Below are 18486 nucleotides of genomic sequence, written 5' to 3' on the forward strand. Positions count from 1 at the left end.
GGAACCACTGGGCTGAGGGCTGAGAGCACCATGTCTCAGACTCGGCTAAGACTGCGCCAGAGGGACCTAAGAAATGATCTCGTCCAAATCCCAAGTTTTAAAGGAAATTGGGCCTCCGAGAGCTAAAGAATCTTAAGGTCACACTAGGGAGCAGCATGATGAGAGGCATTTTAGGAAAAGAATCAGGCAGCTCTATGCAGGCTGGGCTGGAAACTAGAGGCCAGGGGCAGGGAGGGCAGTGGGGGCCGTGATCTGGACATGGGACCTGTGGCGAAGGCCCAGTGTTGGTGCCTGTCACCTGTCAGTCGGAGGTCCCCTGGGAGCAGGTAGTGAAGGCTTCTGCACCAAATGCCAGAAACCAAGGTTTTGTCCCAGCCCAGCAGTGTGACTGGGGACTTCCTTGTCCCCCCGCTTAGCTTCCTGGAAAATCGAGGCGTGACCTTTGTGTTTTCTTCTTGCCGGGAGGCTCTGTTAGTGTTGGGCCATCAGAAGATGGGAGCAGAGAGCTCATCTCGGCAGGAGCCCCTTGAGGATGGGAGCGTGGCAGTGGGGATGTGCGTGGCACCCGCTGTACTGCACAGGCCTCCTCACTGGGCAGACGTGCACCATGCGTGGAGTTGTGCCAGGCGGGAGCTGTGATGGAGGCAGGAACAGGTTTGAGGGCTTGGAGAGGAAGCCTTCCAGTCCAGACTGCGCCCCCGTAGGGTAGGCCGCAGATCTTTCCTGGGGGCCTGGAGGACTTTGGACAGGAAATGGGAAAGGAAGCAGATTTGGGGACAGGGCACCAGCTGTGTTCCCTGAGAGGTAGAAGGCTCCCAGGTGGGTCTGGCAAGACCAAATCAAAGGATGTGGAGTGTGAAGTCAGAGAACCAGTTTGAAGAGAGGTGACCAGGTCCTGGAGTTTCTGACCTAAGAGGTTTTCCTAGGTAGAGGTACCTGAGCATCCCAGCACTTATCCCAGGAGGGAAGTGGAGAGAGGGCTCGGAAGGGGCCCCCCGCTGCAGGTACACCCACAGTGGGAAACCGCTTCAGGAGAAGGCTGTGCTTTGAGAACTTTTCCAGGCCCGAGAAGGGTCCGGGCTCTGAGCTCTGGGGTCCTGCGTGTCTCCAGCTGCAGCGTGTGGGGGCGCCCTGCAGCTCCCCTGCAGCGAGTACCTGCGGCAGTGGGGTTTCCGCTTACTCATTCCAGGGTCTGGCTTTTAGAGCCATAAATCTTCAGCATGAAGATCATAAATTCTCCATGGTATGATTAATGAAAGAAAAATTGAGACGGCAGCATAGAAACTGACCAGATTGAAGAAAAGTCAGAGTGACTATTTGGATGAAAGTTTCAGCCATCGCTGGCGAACCCAGAGCTTCTGAACCAGCCTGGAGCGCCACCTAGTGGCCGTAGGCGGGGCTAGCCCCGTTCCCTGGCGAAGCTTTGTGATGGCCCAGTTGGGCGATGCTGTGGGTCTCAGTGTGCCCATTCTTTGGGAGCCCTGACGTGGTTCCATGTGGGGCTGCGCCAGGGGACAGGAGGCACAGGCCCACTCTCCACAGTGTGAAGGACCCAGGCAGCTGCTGGACGTAAATCATTCGGACCCCCCTGCAGCTCCTTGCACTGTCTCTTGGTTAGTAATACGTGGCGGTGTCTGTTCCTACCTTTTTCTTCATGCACACCTTTCTGGTTCCCCATTTATCAAAATCCTATTCATTCTTCAAAGCCCAGCAAGGCCTGTCAATGCCACCTTCAAAACATCTCAAATTGGACCATTTCTCACCGCTCCTCCGTAGCCTCCTGGTATGAGTCGTCCCCAGCTCTCAAGCTGGTCTGGCTCCTGGGAAGAAAGAGAGGCTCGCAATTAGGCAGGGTAGGGATGCCCACGGGAAGGTGAGGGGAGGGGACAGACGCCTCCCTGAGGAAGGGCATCTCCTTCTTATTCCTCCACAAACCCAAGCCTAATCACAGCAGCCTCCCAGTTGCTCTCCTGGCCTCCCTCGGGCCCTCCCGCGGTCGCTTCTCCAAACAGCAGCCAGAGTGATCTGCTGAAAACCTCAGTGAGATCATGTCACTCTCCAGCTCTGGGACCTTCCCGTCACACTGAGGACACTTGCACGTTTCCTTTACCTGCGAGGTCCCAGCTGGCCTGGCCCCCGGCCACCCCGCCTGCTTTGTCTCCTACCATGTGTCACCTCACTCACTGTTGTAGCACACGGCCAGCGTGCTCCTCCTTGGCTGGCCAGGCTCCTTCCCACTCCGGGGCTTTTGCACCTGCTGTTCTCTCTGTCTGGAACGTTCTTCCCCCAGATAGTTATGTTGCTCCCTCCCCCTGTTTATTTGGGTTTTTGCTTAAACACCACCTCTTCCAAGACACCTTCGCTGCCCACACCCTCCCCAGTTATTTTCTGGCTCTTTACATTGCCTTATTTTTCTTCGTGGCGCATGTCAGCAACTGCAGTTACGTCATTTGTTGCTTACATAAGGTCAGTGTCTCCTGTAAGAATCTACTCTTCGTGAAGGCAGGGTCTTTGCCAGTGAGGTGTACCACTGTCTCCCCAGCTTGGAGAACAGGGCCTGGCACTGAATACGCAGGTGTTCACTTGGGTTTGTGGAGGAATAAGCGAAGGAGATGCCCTTCCTCAGGGAGGCGTCTGTCCCCTCCCCTCACCTTCCCATGGGCATCCCTACCCTGCCTAATTGCGGGTTGCCCTGTCTCAGCCCTGAGCCTCTGTTTCTTCCCAGGAACCAGAGCAGCTTGAGAGCAGGGGCTGGGCTGATTCCTGGAGTCAGCATAGTCTGCACAGGCCCTGGCACAGAACAGCTGCCCGGGAAGTGCCTTTCCAGCAAGCAGTGCCCGGAGCTGGCCACCCACTTCACGTAGCTTATTCCAATCTAATTCTCACAGCAGTCCAATAGGAAGGGGATGATATTCTCACTCTGCATACGAGAGGTTTGCAAGCTCACACCACCAGGATAAGCTGGAGCCGGGAGTCCTGTTTGGGTCTGTGACTCCCAAGCCCTTACCACCTGCACTTTCACCCGGCATAGAATGTTCTCGTCCTCCATCTGCCCCTAGTCCACCCACCCTTTAGGGACTGCCTCCTTCAACTGGCTTCCATGACTGCGACAGTGATTGCCTCCTCTGAGCGCCCGTAGCGTTGACTGGGCACCAGTCCATCCCACCTGGGAGTGGTAGATTTTGCACTTTGATTGCTCCCATCCAGCCAGAACAGAGGCCCCTGGAAAACAGGTCTTTAAAGTGGTTGTAGCTTTTCTGGCATGGCACACTGCATGCTGTAGGCACTCAGTAAATACTGTTTCACTGATTGATTGGCTCCTCAGACTCAGCACACTTCCCATGAGCTGGCGGAGGGAGTCGGGGAGTGCCAGCTATATCGAGCATAAAATAAGACAGATGTGGAGATTTGCAGCCGGTGAAATGGAAGCTTCCCCAGGTGGAGCTGGTGGCGCCGGCAGCCCCAGGGGTGCTGTTGGGGAGAGTTGCTTTTCGGTTTGGGGGCCGATCATGCCAGAGGCCAGCTTATTGGATGGGTGGTGAAGGCAGCCGTGGACTCCCACGTCCCGCACACTGGCCAGGCCCCCAGCCAGCCGATGACTGCCTCCTTTCTCCATCTGTGGGAAATTGTTCTTCAGACTCCAGTGGACAAATGGCCCTTCGGGTCAGAGTAACAGGACACAGTCGCTGGAAGTTCTGGCTCCAAGAAACCCGACTCCGAGGGTCCCTTCCCACCTCCAGAGATGAAGTCTTTCTTGCTTTTCCTGACCCCAGTTCTCCCCTCTCACCAGGCCTCCGTCTTGGACACTGGGGCCTCTTCTCTATCATGCAGAGTAACCTAACCACTCACATGTGTCCAGTACCTTCCACGTATTTGTTACGCACTTTTGCCTCTGTGTGGTTTAATCCATCCTCAGAATGACCTGGGAGGCTCTTGAAACTGGCACAGTCTCCGTTGTCACATGGGGAGACTGAGGCACAGAGAGGCTAGGGGACTGTCTGGGTCACACAGCCGACATGCTTCGGGTCTGCAGCCCAACGGTAGTCCCGTTCTCACCTTGTCGGTTCTCACTTTGTCTGTGTCTCAGAGCATGGGGTGGGGACCTGCACTGTTCCCAGGTCCATGGACGAATGTGAGAGCAGCGCCAGGCTAATGGGCTTTCCTTCCTTTCCAGCTCTGTGGCTGTGGGCTGCTGGGAGTGGGCATCTGGCTCTCCGTGTCCCAAGGCAACTTTGCCACCTTCTCCCCCAGCTTCCCTTCGTTGTCTGCAGCCAACCTGGTCATTGCCATAGGCACCATTGTCATGGTGACGGGCTTCCTCGGCTGCCTGGGGGCCATCAAGGAAAACAAGTGCCTCCTCCTCAGCGTAAGTTCTGTCCAAATCCCCAGCCCCTCCAACTCCTGATCTCCTTGCACTTGGACCCCTGGGACAGGCAAGACCTGGAATATTAGCCACCTGGGTGTCCAACCTGAGCCCAGGGAAACTGCTTCTAGAACGTTCTAGGCTTGACCACACCCCTCCTCCTCATGGTTGGTTATGCCTACCCCTGGTTGTCCCTCCCACTCCCTGATTAGTCAGCTCCTTTATGTCTCTGTCCTAGCTATCTGGGTTTCCTCAGGAGGAGCTGGCTTCTCCCAGACCTGGGAAGCCCCACCTAGGCGCCGCCTGTCCCTGCCTTCCACACCCTCCTTGTCCTCAGCCCTGCCCATTACCACCTACCCATGCCTGGCCCTTTCCTTTCCAGTTTTTCATCGTCCTGTTGGTCATCCTCCTAGCAGAGCTGATCTTACTCATCCTCTTCTTTGTCTACATGGACAAGGTAAGCCTTACCAGATGGGAGGGGGCATATGGAATGTCACTGCCCTTAGAGTTGGGCCAAGCAGGCCAGGGTCCCTTCCCTGGCCAGAGGAAGAGTGCTGGCAAGCAGCACCTGTGCAGAAAGGAACATGGAACCAAGGGTTGGGAAAGCTACCAAGGAAAGAGCAGATGGAAGGTTTTGATGGGGGCAGCATGGGGCAGGCAAATTTGGAGGATGGGAGAGTTGACTTTGTATAGTTCCAGGAAGTGGAATCCTCTGCATGACCAGAGATGGCAGTGGGCTGCCTCTGGCGCTAGTGAGCTCCCTCTCACTGGAAGGAATTAAGCTACTTGGAGAAGGGATTCAGACCTCATCAGGTGGTTGGGCTGGGTGATTTGAGAGCAAACCATGAAAAACAAGGAGGAACTCTCTGGGCGACGCTGGCTGAGCAGGACTGAGGCACAGGGAAGCTCTGTTTCCTGCACTAGAGCCCTTGAGGACGGGCGCTGCTCCTGGGTTCAGGAGGATGGTGGGTGACCCCCTGTAACCTCGCCAGGCTGGGCAGTTCGCAGTCAAGAGCGAGGTTGGCCGGGATTTCAGTCTCTTGGGGCGTGGCAGGCCCTTTGGTACCATGCACTCCAGAACTGTGTAAGGAGCAGTTCTTGAAATAGCTGCCTGAGCCACACTGAAAGTTAGAGACATCGTTAGGATGAGAAAGAATAATCTTTTAGTTTTGCACTCGTGAAAAGGAAGAAAGAACAATGTTGAGAGATTTCTCTGTGCCAGCCCTGTTCTTGGCCCTTTTATGAGAATTGTTTCCCTTAATTCTAACAACAGCGCCATGAGTAGATGCTGCTGTTCAACATCGGGTAGAACAGCGGTGAGGGAGGTGAAGGTCACATGACCTGTCTTCCTCCCTCTAGTTCCCAGGGTGTGTTTTGAGAGGGGCAGTCTGTGGGGAAGCTGTGTAGTGGGGGGCGGGGGTGGCAGAGTGGCCTGTGTGTGTGGCTGGTCCTGGGATGGGGGAGTGGAGGCACGTGGTGTGTTTTTTTGCCTCTGGGTGTTACAGCCCTGGCCCTGAGTTTAGCTCTGCCGGGAGGCGGTGGGTGCACCAGGGCCTGCTGTATTCTGAAACTGGGAGTGTGTGCCTAACCCCGCACCTCTGTTGGGCCAGCAGAGGCCCCCACCCCAGTGGGCAGGGCCTTCCAGACCAGCTGCCTTCCCTGCCTTCCTCACTCCTCATCTGTCACCCACCATCCTGGGTGACCTGAGGTGGGCTGGAGAGACGAGCTGCGTCCTGGTTCCAACCGTCTCACTGTGTCCCTCCGCCTGGCAGGTGAACGAGAACGCCAAGAAGGACCTGAAGGAAGGCCTGCTGCTGTACCACACCGAGAACAACGTGGGGCTGAAGAACGCCTGGAACATCATCCAGGCTGAGGTGCGGGCTGGGCCGCCCTGGTGGGGCCAGGCAGGGAGGAGGGGTGGCGGCCGGTACTTCTAGCTGCCTTCCCCGGTGACCTGGCCGGGCACCTGTGCTTTCTGGATTTTAGCCGGGAGTGGAGTGGTACCCACGGGGGCATTTGCCTGAACTGCTGAGTCAGATGTGATACAGCAAGGTACAGCCAGGGAGGGATGAGGATACAGGAGGGGCAGGCCTGAGAGAGCTGTGGCTGAGCTTTGGGATGAATGACTGAATTTATTTTAGCAACAGATTTGCCTCCATGATGGGGCTTGGCTTAGGTGAGGAGGCCCTGGCTCTAGGAGGAGAACAAGTCCATAGTCCCAGATGCTCCCATTTTAAGCCCTGGGGAGGGGCCGGCAGGGGGTTGGGTGGCAGTCAGCTTGGGACGGTTTACAGAAAGAGCAGAGGTGCTGGTGGGCAAGCACAGGGCTGAGCCAAGGGGCCCAGCCCGAGGGGTGGGCTGCATTGCCCTCTCCCGCTCTGGTCTCCAGGAAGGAGTGCTCACTCACTTCTCCAGTGGGCCCGGCTGAAGCCCAAAGAAGGGACAAGAAGCAAGCCCTTTGTCTCCTCCCTTAACTGCAGGGTGGCCACTTTTGCGGGGACTGGGGTTGGCCTGGGCAGGGGAAGGCCCTGGGGAGGAAGGGGCGGGCCATGGCATGTCTGACTGCCCCTTCCATTCCTGCTGGCCAGATGCGATGCTGTGGTGTCACTGACTACACAGACTGGTACCCAGTGCTGGGGGAGAACACGGTTCCCGACCGCTGCTGCATGGAGAACTCCCAGGGCTGCGGGCGCAACGCCACCACGCCTTTGTGGAGAACGGTGAGGCTGGGGATGGACCGCTTGGGTCCAAGAGCCCGTGTGTGGATGCCCCGGCACGGGGAGCCCTATAGGGGAGGCTGGGCCCGGGACACTAAGAGGTTGGCTGAATGTGGCGGTGGGGGGCTCACAAAAATAAAGCCAAAAGACAGGTGGAAAATGGGGGGTGGGGCTGGACCCACAGTTGGGAGAGTCAGAGGGCGAGGGGTTGAATGGGGTCTGAGGCTCTGCAGCTGGCCTTGCGGGTGGGGCGGAGGCTGCGCCAAGGGATGGGGACAGGGCTGAGGCCAGGGAGGGCTGGGAGGTAAGAGCGAGGACGAGGTGGAAGGAGAGAGTGAGCTGGGGGCTGGGCTGCAGGGAGCGCATGCTTGGGCTGGGACCCTAACCTCGTGGGCCTCGCTCCCCAGGGCTGCTATGAAAAGGTGAAGATGTGGTTCGATGACAATAAGCACGTGCTGGGCACGGTGGGGATGTGCATCCTCATCATGCAGGTAAGAGGGGCGTCCCCAGCAGCCTCACCCACCCTGCTGGCCTCAGCCTCAGAGGGAAGGAAGCACAGAGAAGTGAAAGCAGTGTTGGTACACGGCGGAGGGTCTGGAATTCATCACAGCTATTCAAGCTTAGCAGCTGTGCCTGCCACCGTTTCCGCAGAGCTCTGATATGAGAGCACGTGTCTACTCAGCACTGAGAGTGGTGCTCAGGGCTGCCTGTGGCCAGGCCCAGGCTGGGATATTGAAGCTGGAGTCAACCCCCGTGGGTTCCCCCAGTTCTGCCCAAACCTTGAGCTCAGAGAGCCATGCAAGACACACACGGTGTCCCCCGGTCACCATCTTTACAGCCTGTGCACATGGCACACTCTCTGTGGTGACCGTGAGACCACACCGGGCTTCCTTCTGCCTCCTGCACTCCTCTGGGTCCCCGGCTCCTTTGAGGATTCAGGAGGGAAGGGGCACAAACGAGTAGTGACGTGGTCCTGAGCACACATCACTGGAAAGACAGCCCTGCTGCTGCCAAGACATCGCACCATGTGTTCCACAAGCAGACAAGAGAGGCTTGACAGGAGTCCTTTATTTTTCTTTTTTTAAGAGACAGGGTCTCACTTTGTTGCTCAGGCTGGAGTGCGGTGGCGCCGTCATAGCTCGCTGCAGCCACAAACTCCTGGGCTCAAGCCATCGTCCCACTTCAGCCTCTCAAGTAGCTGGGACTACAGGCATATACACCACCATACCTGAATGATTTACAACTTTTTTCCAAAAACAGATGGAGTCTCCCTCTATTGCCCAGGCCGATCTCAAGCCATCCTCCCACCTTGGCCTCCTAAAGTGCCACCGTGCCCGGCTGGCCTGAGTCCTGAATGATCCCTGCCACCTCCCACTCCCCACCTTGGCTCCTGTGAGCCCCCACGTAGAGCCAGGTCCTCCGTGCATTCCGTGCCTGCAGCGCCCCTCTGAGTAGGCACACGTATGCATCCTGCAGAGGTTCGATGGCTTCTGGTCTAACAGCCCCACGAGGCTGAGCCAGAGTTCACCTGTGTGTGTCTCCAGGGTGACCTCTGTTCACGGTTTTCTTCATGTCTTCATTCCATAAGCATTTTCCTGGCACACCAGTGGCCATCCCCGCTTGCTCTAGGTGCCCTGTGACATCCCAAGCCTCTCGGGGCTGAGGTCAGGTCCAGGCTGCTGCAGCTCCTGCCTCAGGCCCCTCCCCGTGTCTTTCAGATCCTGGGCATGGCCTTCTCCATGACCCTCTTCCAGCACATCCACCGGACTGGTAAGAAGTACGACGCATGAGCGGGCTGGCCGGGAGTGCCCACCCCGCCCTGCTGCCCTGTGGAGGGAAGAGGATTGAGCTTTGTGTCACCTGCCTGCGCTCTCCAGATATGACCCCTGCACCCACCCCCCACAGCCTGCCCTACCCCACCTACCCTGCCTCAGCCTCGGACTTCTCAGTGGGTGGAGTGCCAGGGAGGAGGAGGCACACGGAGACCTGGGGCTCGGGGCCCCTGGATTCCTGCATCTGCATATGCGTATTTGCCAAAGACGACAGGGTGGGCTGGGGTGCGCTCCGGAGGAACCCCCGGCACTGATGGGCTTCTGCCCCTGCCCTTCCTCACACTGACACTTTGTCCCCACATGGGGTGGGGAGCAGAGTGCCCGCCCCGTGGAGATACCGCCCCAGCGGGGGCTGCGACATCCATGGCCACCATGGGGCACCTGGCGGGGCGGGGGTCTGCCGGCCTCTGGGCAAGGCCCCTGGAGCATCTCGCCCAGGCTTTTTATACCTTACAATGTAACTTTTTTATTTTATTTTACTCTATGATTATTCAGGAATATTATCTCTCAGATAAGTTTAGGGTTAGATTTCTGATTTGTAACTTTTTACTGTGTTGATTTCTTTAATGGTTTGACTTTTTTTCCCTGAGGGTGAGGGATGGGTGGGAAGAGAGGACATCTGTCCAGTCTCAATCAGGACAGACCACCGTGCGACACCCAGGAGGCTCTCGGATGGGGCGCGCCTGCGCCCTCAGAACGTGTGGGAAGGAGGGGGCGTGGACAGGACACGGGACCTTGCCAGGCCTGGTGTCTGAGGACAGGAGCCTGGGAGAGGCGGGTGGAGCGTGAAGCAGGCTGGAGGTGCCCCTGCACGGGAGGTGGCGTTTGCTAACCAATCGAGCTGGAAATGCCAGGGCAGGGGGGCCCCACGGTGCTGTGGCAGAGCTAGAGGGGTCCTTAGACTTTTCACTGATGAGCAGTTGTTGGTTTTTTCTTTCTCCCTTCCTCCCGCTCTCTGCTGGCACGCGAGGCTTCCCCTTCCACCCCATGTGGGTATTCCCACAACAGGTTCTGCACACCCCAGTTATTTCACAGACATTCCTGCTAGAAACTGTCAGACAAATACCTCTCTAGTTCGGATGCTGCTCACTTTCCCCCTTGCTTCTGGAAGGGGAAGCAGTCCTTAGGTTTTGCTGTGCTGGGACAGTGGCAGGGGACCCACAGGGGTGAGGACCCACGGTCCTCCCCGCCAGCCTTGCTCAGCTGTGGGTTGCCCTGCTGGGAAGGAGGGAATCACGTCCACCTGGGTCCCAAGATCTTCGCCTCCTTCCCTGGGGCCACGGACATCAGCAGTGGGTTGGGTGGCGATTATATCATCTGTGATCCCAAGGAGAAGAAATACAGAAAACCCAAGAGAGGTCAGACTGGCTCTTGTTACCGGAGCCACGGGAAGAAAGCAGCCGGAGTCACGCACGTGCAGAGCTGGGCATGGGAGAGAAACGGGCTGGGGAGTGAGGCCAGGAGTGGGATTCAGCTGCAGCAGGGCGCCCCCTCCAAACTGCAGCTGGTCTGGCTTACTGTTTTGCCGTTCAAAAAGGTCGCGAATCCGTGGGACTGAGCACGGGGACCTCACCCGCTAGCCAGCGTCTGCTGCACTTGATCAGGTGGGGCCTTGGTGGGCGGCTGCCTTTCCTATACAGTTTGTCTTGTCACCCTGGTTTCCCACTGGGGCCAGGTCTCTTCTCCAGCCTCCACCTGCCTGTCTGATCCAAGAGCTGAGACACGGCCACCCAGCACCAGTCACTCCTCTGTTCACCTTAAGTAACACACAAATCGGGAACAGGAGGACAGAACCGTTGGCATTATCAGGATTCGTGTTTTGTGGGGGTGGGAGTGGAGAGTAGGGTGGTCTTGTGAGTTGTGCAGGGTGAAGACCGCTTCCCTGAGACAGGGGCAGTGGTGCTGATGGAATGTGGGGGAGGCCCACATTTGAGCAAAGCTGCCCTGCCCTTGTCCCCTGGCCTGGCTTCCTGGTAAGGAGTTTCAGCCGCCTCCGCAGGAACCCCCAAAGTGCAGATTCCGGAGCAGACACATCCGGGCGGAGAGACTCAGCAGACAAGTGCTGCAGTTGCACGGTGGGACCCGGGGCCTCGTGCGTTTTTTGCTGTGGGTGGGGTGGGTGGGTTGGTTTATGCCTATCAATGCAATTTTTAATTTTTGTTAATATCAACAGCAAAAGCCTAGTGCATTGGGAGATGTGCAACCTCCCTGAAAATCTTTTCTGTTTCTGGAGTACTTCAGGGGTGGCCTCTGGCCCCAGAGCCTTTGCCACAGTGCTCCCACCAGCCCCCACCTCATCCGTCTGTTTGCAGAGCCTCATCTACAGGTCCCCACGCTGCCTTCTTTACTCACTCTGCGCTTGGCCGTTTTGTTATTTGGCTTAGTCTACATTGGGCGGAAGTCTGTGTGCACAGAGTGGGTGTTCCTTCGAGCCCCTTCCACTCAGAGGGCCACACCCAGCGATGCCAGTGAAGGTGGCACAGCCTCTCTTCAGTTTCTCCTGACTGTGATCTCACTGGGGTAGAATTCCCCTGAGAGAATTCCCTCACTCACGGCTCCCTTTGCCAGAGTCAGTTCAATCAGGTCTGATGTGAGCAATTTACACACTTGTCTCAGAAAGTCCCTCAGGGTTTGTAGAGGACTGCAGGGGGGCATCCGCTGCAGACTCAGCCTTTCTCTGCAGCCATCCTGCAGTGGGGGTGAGCGGGCACAGGCTGAGAACTGCTCTTGGGTGGTGGAAGCAGGTGTCACGGTGCAAGTCTCCCCCTGCACCCCTCCCCCAGCTTGAGCCGTGTCACCCCCCTCTCCCTCCAGCATGGGCCTGTGTCTCAGGCTCTCTGGAAGGTGGCCCTGCCCCGGACCCTCTTGCAGGTGTCCTGGTTTGACTTGGAACTAGATGGCCATCTTTCCAGGCTTTGGTGGCCCAAGAGCAGTCTGGGTGGATGGAAGTGGCTGTCCCCTCCTCTCCAGCCCCTGCCCACCCACTGGTGGAGGTGCTAACTAGCAGGGACGTGGCATAGGATGGGAGCTGGGCGTGAGGTGCTTGGGGTCCATTCTTTGTCCCTCAGCTTCTCAGAGTCCGGCCAGCCCTTGTGTTCCCGTGCCCCACACTTTCCTCCTCCCCACTGCAGTGAGTCAATAGTCCAGGGTGGGGCCTGGCCTCCCTGCCCTGATTGGGGACTCAGGAGGTGAGGCCTGGGGGGCTTCCTGCCCCCTCCTTGCCCACCTGCCTGCCCCCGGGCAGCACGGGAGGGAGAGCAGGGTGAGCACGCTTGTTGGTTTCAGATGCACTTTCTGCTTGCATTGCCGTATCTGTGCGTTCCTTCATCCTGGTCCTGGCTTTATGGAACACCATGTTTTTAGCATGTTTTTAAATAAAAACGGATAAAGTGTCAAAAGCACAGCAGGCTGTCTCTCAGTGGTGTGTTTTGTTCACTCAGCCAAAACTGTGACTTAGGTCGTGGTTGGTGTGAGGGACCCAGAGGGATCAGATACCACTCCTACCCTTCATCCAAGACACACCCCCAGGGGGACCTCATCTCTCTTTTGGGGCCCAGGTCACAGATCTGCTGGCGTGGGGAGGGTCTCTGTCCTCTCTGGGTGCCTGAGGAATCCTAACATCCCCCCTCGAAACAGGCTGGATCAGGGGGCAGTCCCAGTGCCCGAGGCCTTCTGCCTGAGAGGCTGAAGTCCTGTCTCCGTACCAATCACCCATCACACATGGCCAGTCCTGTGGCCAGGCCCCGAAGTGTATCGTGGGGCGGGTATGGAATAAGCCACTAGCAGCTTCCAGTAGGGTAAGGGGCTTCCTGTAGGGGTGGGGGCTGTCAGTTTCAGAAACAGTCTTCTTCCCAATCCCTGTGATGTTCCCGGGGTTCATTTGACCTTGATGTCTCGGACTGAGGGGGCCTCACAGTGTGTCTTGGCCTTTTCAGGGTGACTGGGACAGCCTCAAAGAAGGAACAAAATCAGGATGAGGATGGTCAGCAGGGAAGGCCATTAAAACCGCGAGCAGGAAGAGCTGCTGGCTGGGCCACTGACGTTGCCGCCTTCCTGCAGTCGAAGTCTCCCGCGGCCTTGGTTGGGGTCCTGGTGTGTGGGGTTTCCTTGGCTGTCAGTCAAGGTGACAAGTTGCAGATGAGAAGCTCAGAACTCCCCTTGCTGGTCCTCACTGTGTTCATGTCCCCAGGGTGGAGGCAGGCGTGAGGGTGAGTGTGCATGGGGGTCTGAGAGCAGTTGGAGGTTTGGAGGTGAGCATCTTGAAACCCCTCTGCCTGTGGAACTCCATCTCCCGCCTTCTCAAGGGAGTGGCCAGGTCCACACAGAATTATCCCAAAACATCAACCTCTGGGGCCCCCTCCTGCAGCTGCTGTGTCCCAGAGCCTCCAGAGACGGTGCCTTGAGTCTGAGCCACCCTCTGTCTAAGGTCCAGCTGGAGTGATGTCCCTGGGAACCTCCCCAGGATATTTACCGAGAGAGACTTTGTGGCTGTAGGGTCAGGATTGATCGTGGCTGAGGAGCAGGTGACCCCCTCATCGTCTGCGGAGGACAAACCAGCTCATAGGAATTTGGGTGGATGCCACCCTGTCTCTGCTCATTCTTACTCTCGCTCCTGCCCCCAGGCCTGTTGAGATGCCCACTGGGTCACTGTGCTGTGTTTTGGGGCTTCCAGGCAATGGAACACACTGGCTGTTCTCTTAACCCTCGGCTCTGGTTGCCCTGGCTGTGCGGGAGAGGAGCATCTTCTTTGGGACTTCTAGTGACGAGGCTAGCACCTCTGGGCTGGGTCTGGGCTCCTCTGTCTAGGGAGTGGCTGAGATGACCCGGGGGGGGGGGTCCCTCCTTTGCGCCCCCATTCTTGTGTGTTGTGATGGAACTGCCTCCCCATTGGTGCTCAGCAAAGGGCAAGTGAGAAAGGGTGGCTTCTGAGCCCCGCCAGCTTTCCATGGGGCCAACAGTGGCGCTTGCACAGACAAATGTCTGTTTGCCCAAAGACTTACTGAATACTCACTCGTGCCAGGCACCTAGAACACAGTCGTGGACGACACAGACCCAGTCCCTGCACTTTCAGAGCCGACCATTTAGTGGGGACCCCAGAAGAGTGCCTGTGATTGCAAGTAAGTAGTGGCAGCAATGTTCACAGGGCACTGGGAAGCCCTGGGGGACAGTCACTGGCTGAACCTGGGGAAGTGAGGTCTCCAGAGCAGGTGATGTCAAAGCTAAGAGCTGAAGGTGGAGGTGTTCACCTGGCAAAGAGAGGCAGGAGATGTGTCCTGTGGATGCTTGTGGTCCACAGAGCTGGAGCACAAAGGGTGAAGGTGAAGGTCTGGAGATGGTGGTGACCACCAGATCACAACCTTGAGAACCAGGCCAAGGAACTTGAAGTTCAGGCTGAGAACAGTGGGAGCTGTGGAAAGGCTTTAAGCCCAGGTGTGACAGGCTCAGATGTAGCCTTTAGAAAGCTGGCTGTGGCTGCAGTGTGGAGAGTTTTCAGGGACAGGGGAGGCCACCGGGGGACCAGGCACAGGTGCCGCAGTGATTTAGGTGACAGACGATGGAGCCTTAGGGAAGGGCAGTGGGATGGAGATGAAGCCGGAAGATTTGAGAGATGCACAGGAGAATCTGCGAGCCTTGGTGGTTAATTAGATTTATGCAAAGAGAAGGAGCGTTCTTGCCACTCGCCCAACATGACACCCTCAACCCAGACAGGCAGATGACTAATTGTTTGCATCAAATGGATGGATGAATGTGTTTTCTGGGCTCGGTGCTTCTGTGCAGGAGATGACAGAGATCAGCATGGTGCAATTAAATCTCTTTGTTTGTGTTGAGCTGCACAGCTTGCAAAATGCTTCCATAAATGTGATCTAGGCTCCTCCTGACCAAAACGGTCTTATCAGCTGTCACTGTGCTTAAACTTTCACCATCAGAGATGCACCAAGGTGTGCATGGGAGGAGCACTGATGTGGGTGCCAGAGGACCCGGGTTAAACTCCCAGTTTGCATTTGGTGTCCCTGTGAGCCTCGGAACTTGTCTTGGTTTTGTTATTTGCAAATGAGGATAATGCCTATTTTATAGATTTGTTGTGGGGATTAAATAGAGACATGTATGTAGAGGCATCCGGCTTGTTCCTGGAGCAGGATAGGTGCTTGGCAAGAAATTGGTTGAACCTGGGTCGCCACATGAAAGGCAGGACCCCAAGGAAGAGCAGCTTTCAGCCCAAGGACACAGGAGAGCGGTCTGGGAAGGGGTGCTGGTGTATGAAGGGAGAGTGAGCTGCCCGCAGGGGCTCAGGGAACAGGTTTCCCCATGCCTTTGTTTTGCCCTGGGCTGGCTCAGCAGCAACACTCAATATTCCACAGAAGCAAGAAGGAAGCCAGATTAAATAAATGTCATTTTGGACACAAAAATATTGACATTGCGATGGTCCCTTCTTAAAGCCGTCAGCAAAGCTTGGTAGGCTATTGATTTAGCCATCTCATTTTTGCTGAGTTTAATGACAGGAGCGAGATAGACTATTGTCTCCTAAAGCTAACAAAAAGAGTAACAGCACTCCACAGGGCACGCTGGAGCCAAGCCCTCCTGATTGAAGCTGACGCCCTGGAACCTCTCCTTTGCAGCCCAGAGACTACCAGGTAGCTGAGAGCCAGCTGGGGCAGAGCTGGGCACTGCCTCGTTTTCCTTGGCCCTATGTGCAGAGGAGAGAGGTGAACGGGGACATGAAGGCCGCACAGTGGCCTGTGGCCGGGTCTTGCGGTTAGCACCTGTTGCCCGGAGATTTTTCTTCTGGTTACTGAGTTCTGGAACAGCCTACAGCAGTGTCCAGAGCAAGGCCAGGCTAGCTTTGGTGGTCGAGGGGAACTGCAGCCCACATGCTCTGATTTAATGACCTCAGGAAGCTCATTGTCCTTTGCCTCCCTACTCCCACCTCAACTCCTCCACTCAATTTCTGGAATCAGAATACAGTTGGTCCCTAATTTATAATGGTTCAGTTTATGATTTTTTGACTTTATGATGGTGTGAAAGTCATAGGTATTCAGTAAAAACGCTTATCTCTTTCTTTCGAGTACACATACAACCATTCTGTTTTTCATTTTCAGTGCAGCAGTCCATAAACGACATGAGATACTCAACACTTCGCTGTAAGGTGGGCTTTGTGTTAGATGATTTTGCCCACTGTGCGCTAATTCAAGTGTTCTGAGCACATTTAAGTTTGTCTAGGTTAAGCTGTGATGTTGTAGGTTAGGGTTTTTTTTTTTCCTGAGACGGAGTCTCGTTCTGTCACCCAGGCTGGAGTGCAGTGGCGTGATCTGGGTTCCCTGCAAGCTCCGCCTCCCGGGTTCACGCCATTCTTCTGCCTCAGCCTCCCGAGTAGCTGGGACTATAGGCACCCGCCACCACGCCCAGCTAATTTTTTGTATTTTTAGTAAAGAAGAGGTTTCACCGTGTTGGCCAGGATGGTCTCGATCTCCTGATCTCGTGATCTACCCGCCTCGACCCCCCAAAGTGCTGGGATTACAGAAGTGAGCCACCGCGCCCGGCCATTAGGGGTATTAAATGCATTTTTGACCTATGGTATTTTCAACTTATGATGAGTTTATTGGGATGTGACGCCTTCGTAAGTCAGGGAGTGTCTACATGTTCTCAATATATTTCTTTTCTCTGGCAAGGGACCCTAGTTCCTGAAAGGACTCAGCCTTCTTATTTACCAGATGGCCCCTCCAAGAGAGTGTGTTGGGTTTGACCTCTGGCCTCCAACTCAGGGTTCTCTAAAGGAGGATTAGAGATTCCTGAGCTATTCTCAATATTTTAAAAGTCCCAGCGAAGTTGTTCCTCACCCCCATCATGGGAACATAAACCCTTTGGGTCTGGATGGCTGTGTTATGCCCTTAGTGCAGTGGCATGGTTCGTACCTTGCTAATGGAAAGGGCTGGGTTCCCGCCTCACTCTTTCCCTCCTCTCCCCTGGTCTGGTGCAAAGCCTCCCACCGGATGCTCCGCAGGTCCTCTCCTTCCTGCTCAGGTCACTGCCAGATAGGGCTTGACCAGTGGCAGAAGCAGGAGGAAAAAGAAGTAGGAGCTTCTTGTGTGTTTGCTTTTTTTTTTTTTTGATACAGTTTCACTTTGTTGCCCAGGCTGGAGTCCAGTGGCGCAATCTTGACTCACTGCAACCTCGGCCTCCTGGGTTCAAGCGATTCTCGTGCCTTAGACTCCTGAGTAGCTGGGATTACAGGCACCCGGCATCATGCTAGGCTAATTTTTGGTATTTTTAGTAGAGATGGGGTTTCACCATGTTGGCCAGGCTGGTCTCGAACTCCTGACCTCAAGTGATCTGCCCGCCTCGGCCTCCCAAAGTGCTGGGATTACAGGCATGAGCCACCACACCCGGCCTCATGTGTTTGCTTTTAAGAGGAAAATGGCTGTTGGCCCCTGTGCCCTCGCCTCCCCACCAGCAGCCTCACTCTTTTCAGTTGTGGAGAGAGAATGAGAACCAGGGTCCCCAGCTCGAGGCACCCTGAGGCAGCAGTGACAGCCCAGCTGGGGCTGACATGAGGCATCAGTACCTGCTAGGAAGTAGTGGCAGCTGACAGGCCAGCCGGCAGCCACCAAGGCACAGCTTCAGCACAGCTTCTTGCTGCCTGCCCGGATGACAAGGCCCAGGGCTGTGGGGACAGCAGTCACCAACCACTGACAGTGCTGTGCAGCAGGGAGGGTCCTGGAGTGGTACTTGTTCCTCCTCGGTACACACACACTCTCAGTGATGGTGGAGGTGAGTAGATGTCCAGGTCCAATGGGACAGATGACGGTGAGCGTGCCCTGGGCTGGCTTCCTTCCCCTGTTCAACATCCAGACAGTCAGAGGCTGCTGCTGTGGCCGTTGAGTGAACGACTGAACATTGGCCAAGGAGGTCCTGAAGACACAGGAGAGCGGGGCAGGGCTGGGGCTCTCGTGCGAAGCGGGTCCCCGCTGGACCTCGGGTGGATCCACCTGTTCACACAGCACGTGGCCAGGCTGCGTCGGGTTCACACCACACCAGGTGTGCGGTTCCATTCTCAGCTGCCTCCCAGGCCACCCCCACCCCTCTGTCTGGGGATCCCCTGAGTTCCGCTTACCCGGGTACTCTTCAGGCTTCCCACCCCACCTCAAGCAAGTTTTCTAGACAGAAGAGTGAATGAGAGAGAATGAGTGTCCATGTCATAGAAGGGAAAGCGTATTTCTTTTTCCTTGCGCTGGGCAGCCTGATGGCCTCAGCAAAGATTCGTCTTTTTGCATTGAGATGAAAAGGTGTCCAACTCTGGATCTGGGGATGAGGACGAACCAGCTGGTCCAAGGTGGAGAAACCCTGTCATTGTGGAGTGAGGTCGTCTGGGGGTCCAGGTGGCAGTAGGAGTGTGTGTCTCAGCCAGGGGGAGCCCCATTGCTTGTGACCTCTCCCCACACTCTGCCTCTCCTGCATCCAGGCAGAGGGCCGTGCACGAAGTGGGGAAAGGCTCACCGCAGATTTCTTAACAGGCTGGTTGCGCATCCTGGTAAACGGTGTGAAGATATTGACTGACCAGAGACAGAAAGCTTTACAA

At 56.2% G+C, this 18486-nt stretch overlaps 1 protein-coding gene across 10 annotated transcripts in view, besides 2 other annotated features; it reads left to right on the top strand.

The window, feature by feature from the left end:
• Positions 1-12313, top strand: part of TSPAN9 (tetraspanin 9) — a 209181-nt gene extending 196868 nt beyond the window's left edge. For all 10 annotated transcript variants that reach the window (XM_047428125.1, XM_047428128.1, XM_047428127.1 and 7 more), the window contains 6 exons: positions 4175-4366; positions 4746-4820; positions 6136-6237; positions 6952-7083; positions 7488-7571; positions 8799-12313. In XM_047428125.1, coding sequence (XP_047284081.1) covers positions 4175-4366; positions 4746-4820; positions 6136-6237; positions 6952-7083; positions 7488-7571; positions 8799-8870 — 657 coding nt within the window. In that variant the 3' untranslated portion in view covers positions 8871-12313. The remainder of the gene's footprint in view (positions 1-4174; positions 4367-4745; positions 4821-6135; positions 6238-6951; positions 7084-7487; positions 7572-8798) is intronic.
• Positions 9980-10480: an enhancer, noted in NCBI's record as "H3K4me1 hESC enhancer chr12:3393392-3393892 (GRCh37/hg19 assembly coordinates)". NCBI's record gives its function as "activates a minimal SCP1, AML or CMV promoter by ChIP-STARR-seq in naive H9 embryonic stem cells {active_cell/tissue: H9 hESC(naive)}" and the evidence as "EXISTENCE:reporter gene assay evidence [ECO:0000049][PMID:30033119]".
• Positions 10481-10981: an enhancer, noted in NCBI's record as "H3K4me1 hESC enhancer chr12:3393893-3394393 (GRCh37/hg19 assembly coordinates)". NCBI's record gives its function as "activates a minimal SCP1, AML or CMV promoter by ChIP-STARR-seq in naive H9 embryonic stem cells {active_cell/tissue: H9 hESC(naive)}" and the evidence as "EXISTENCE:reporter gene assay evidence [ECO:0000049][PMID:30033119]".
• Positions 12314-18486: the final 6173 nt, after the last annotated feature.

The sequence above is a fragment of the Homo sapiens genome, chromosome 12, assembly GCF_000001405.40.
Source record: "Homo sapiens chromosome 12, GRCh38.p14 Primary Assembly".
In the NCBI taxonomy this organism is placed as follows: domain Eukaryota; kingdom Metazoa; phylum Chordata; class Mammalia; order Primates; family Hominidae; genus Homo; species Homo sapiens.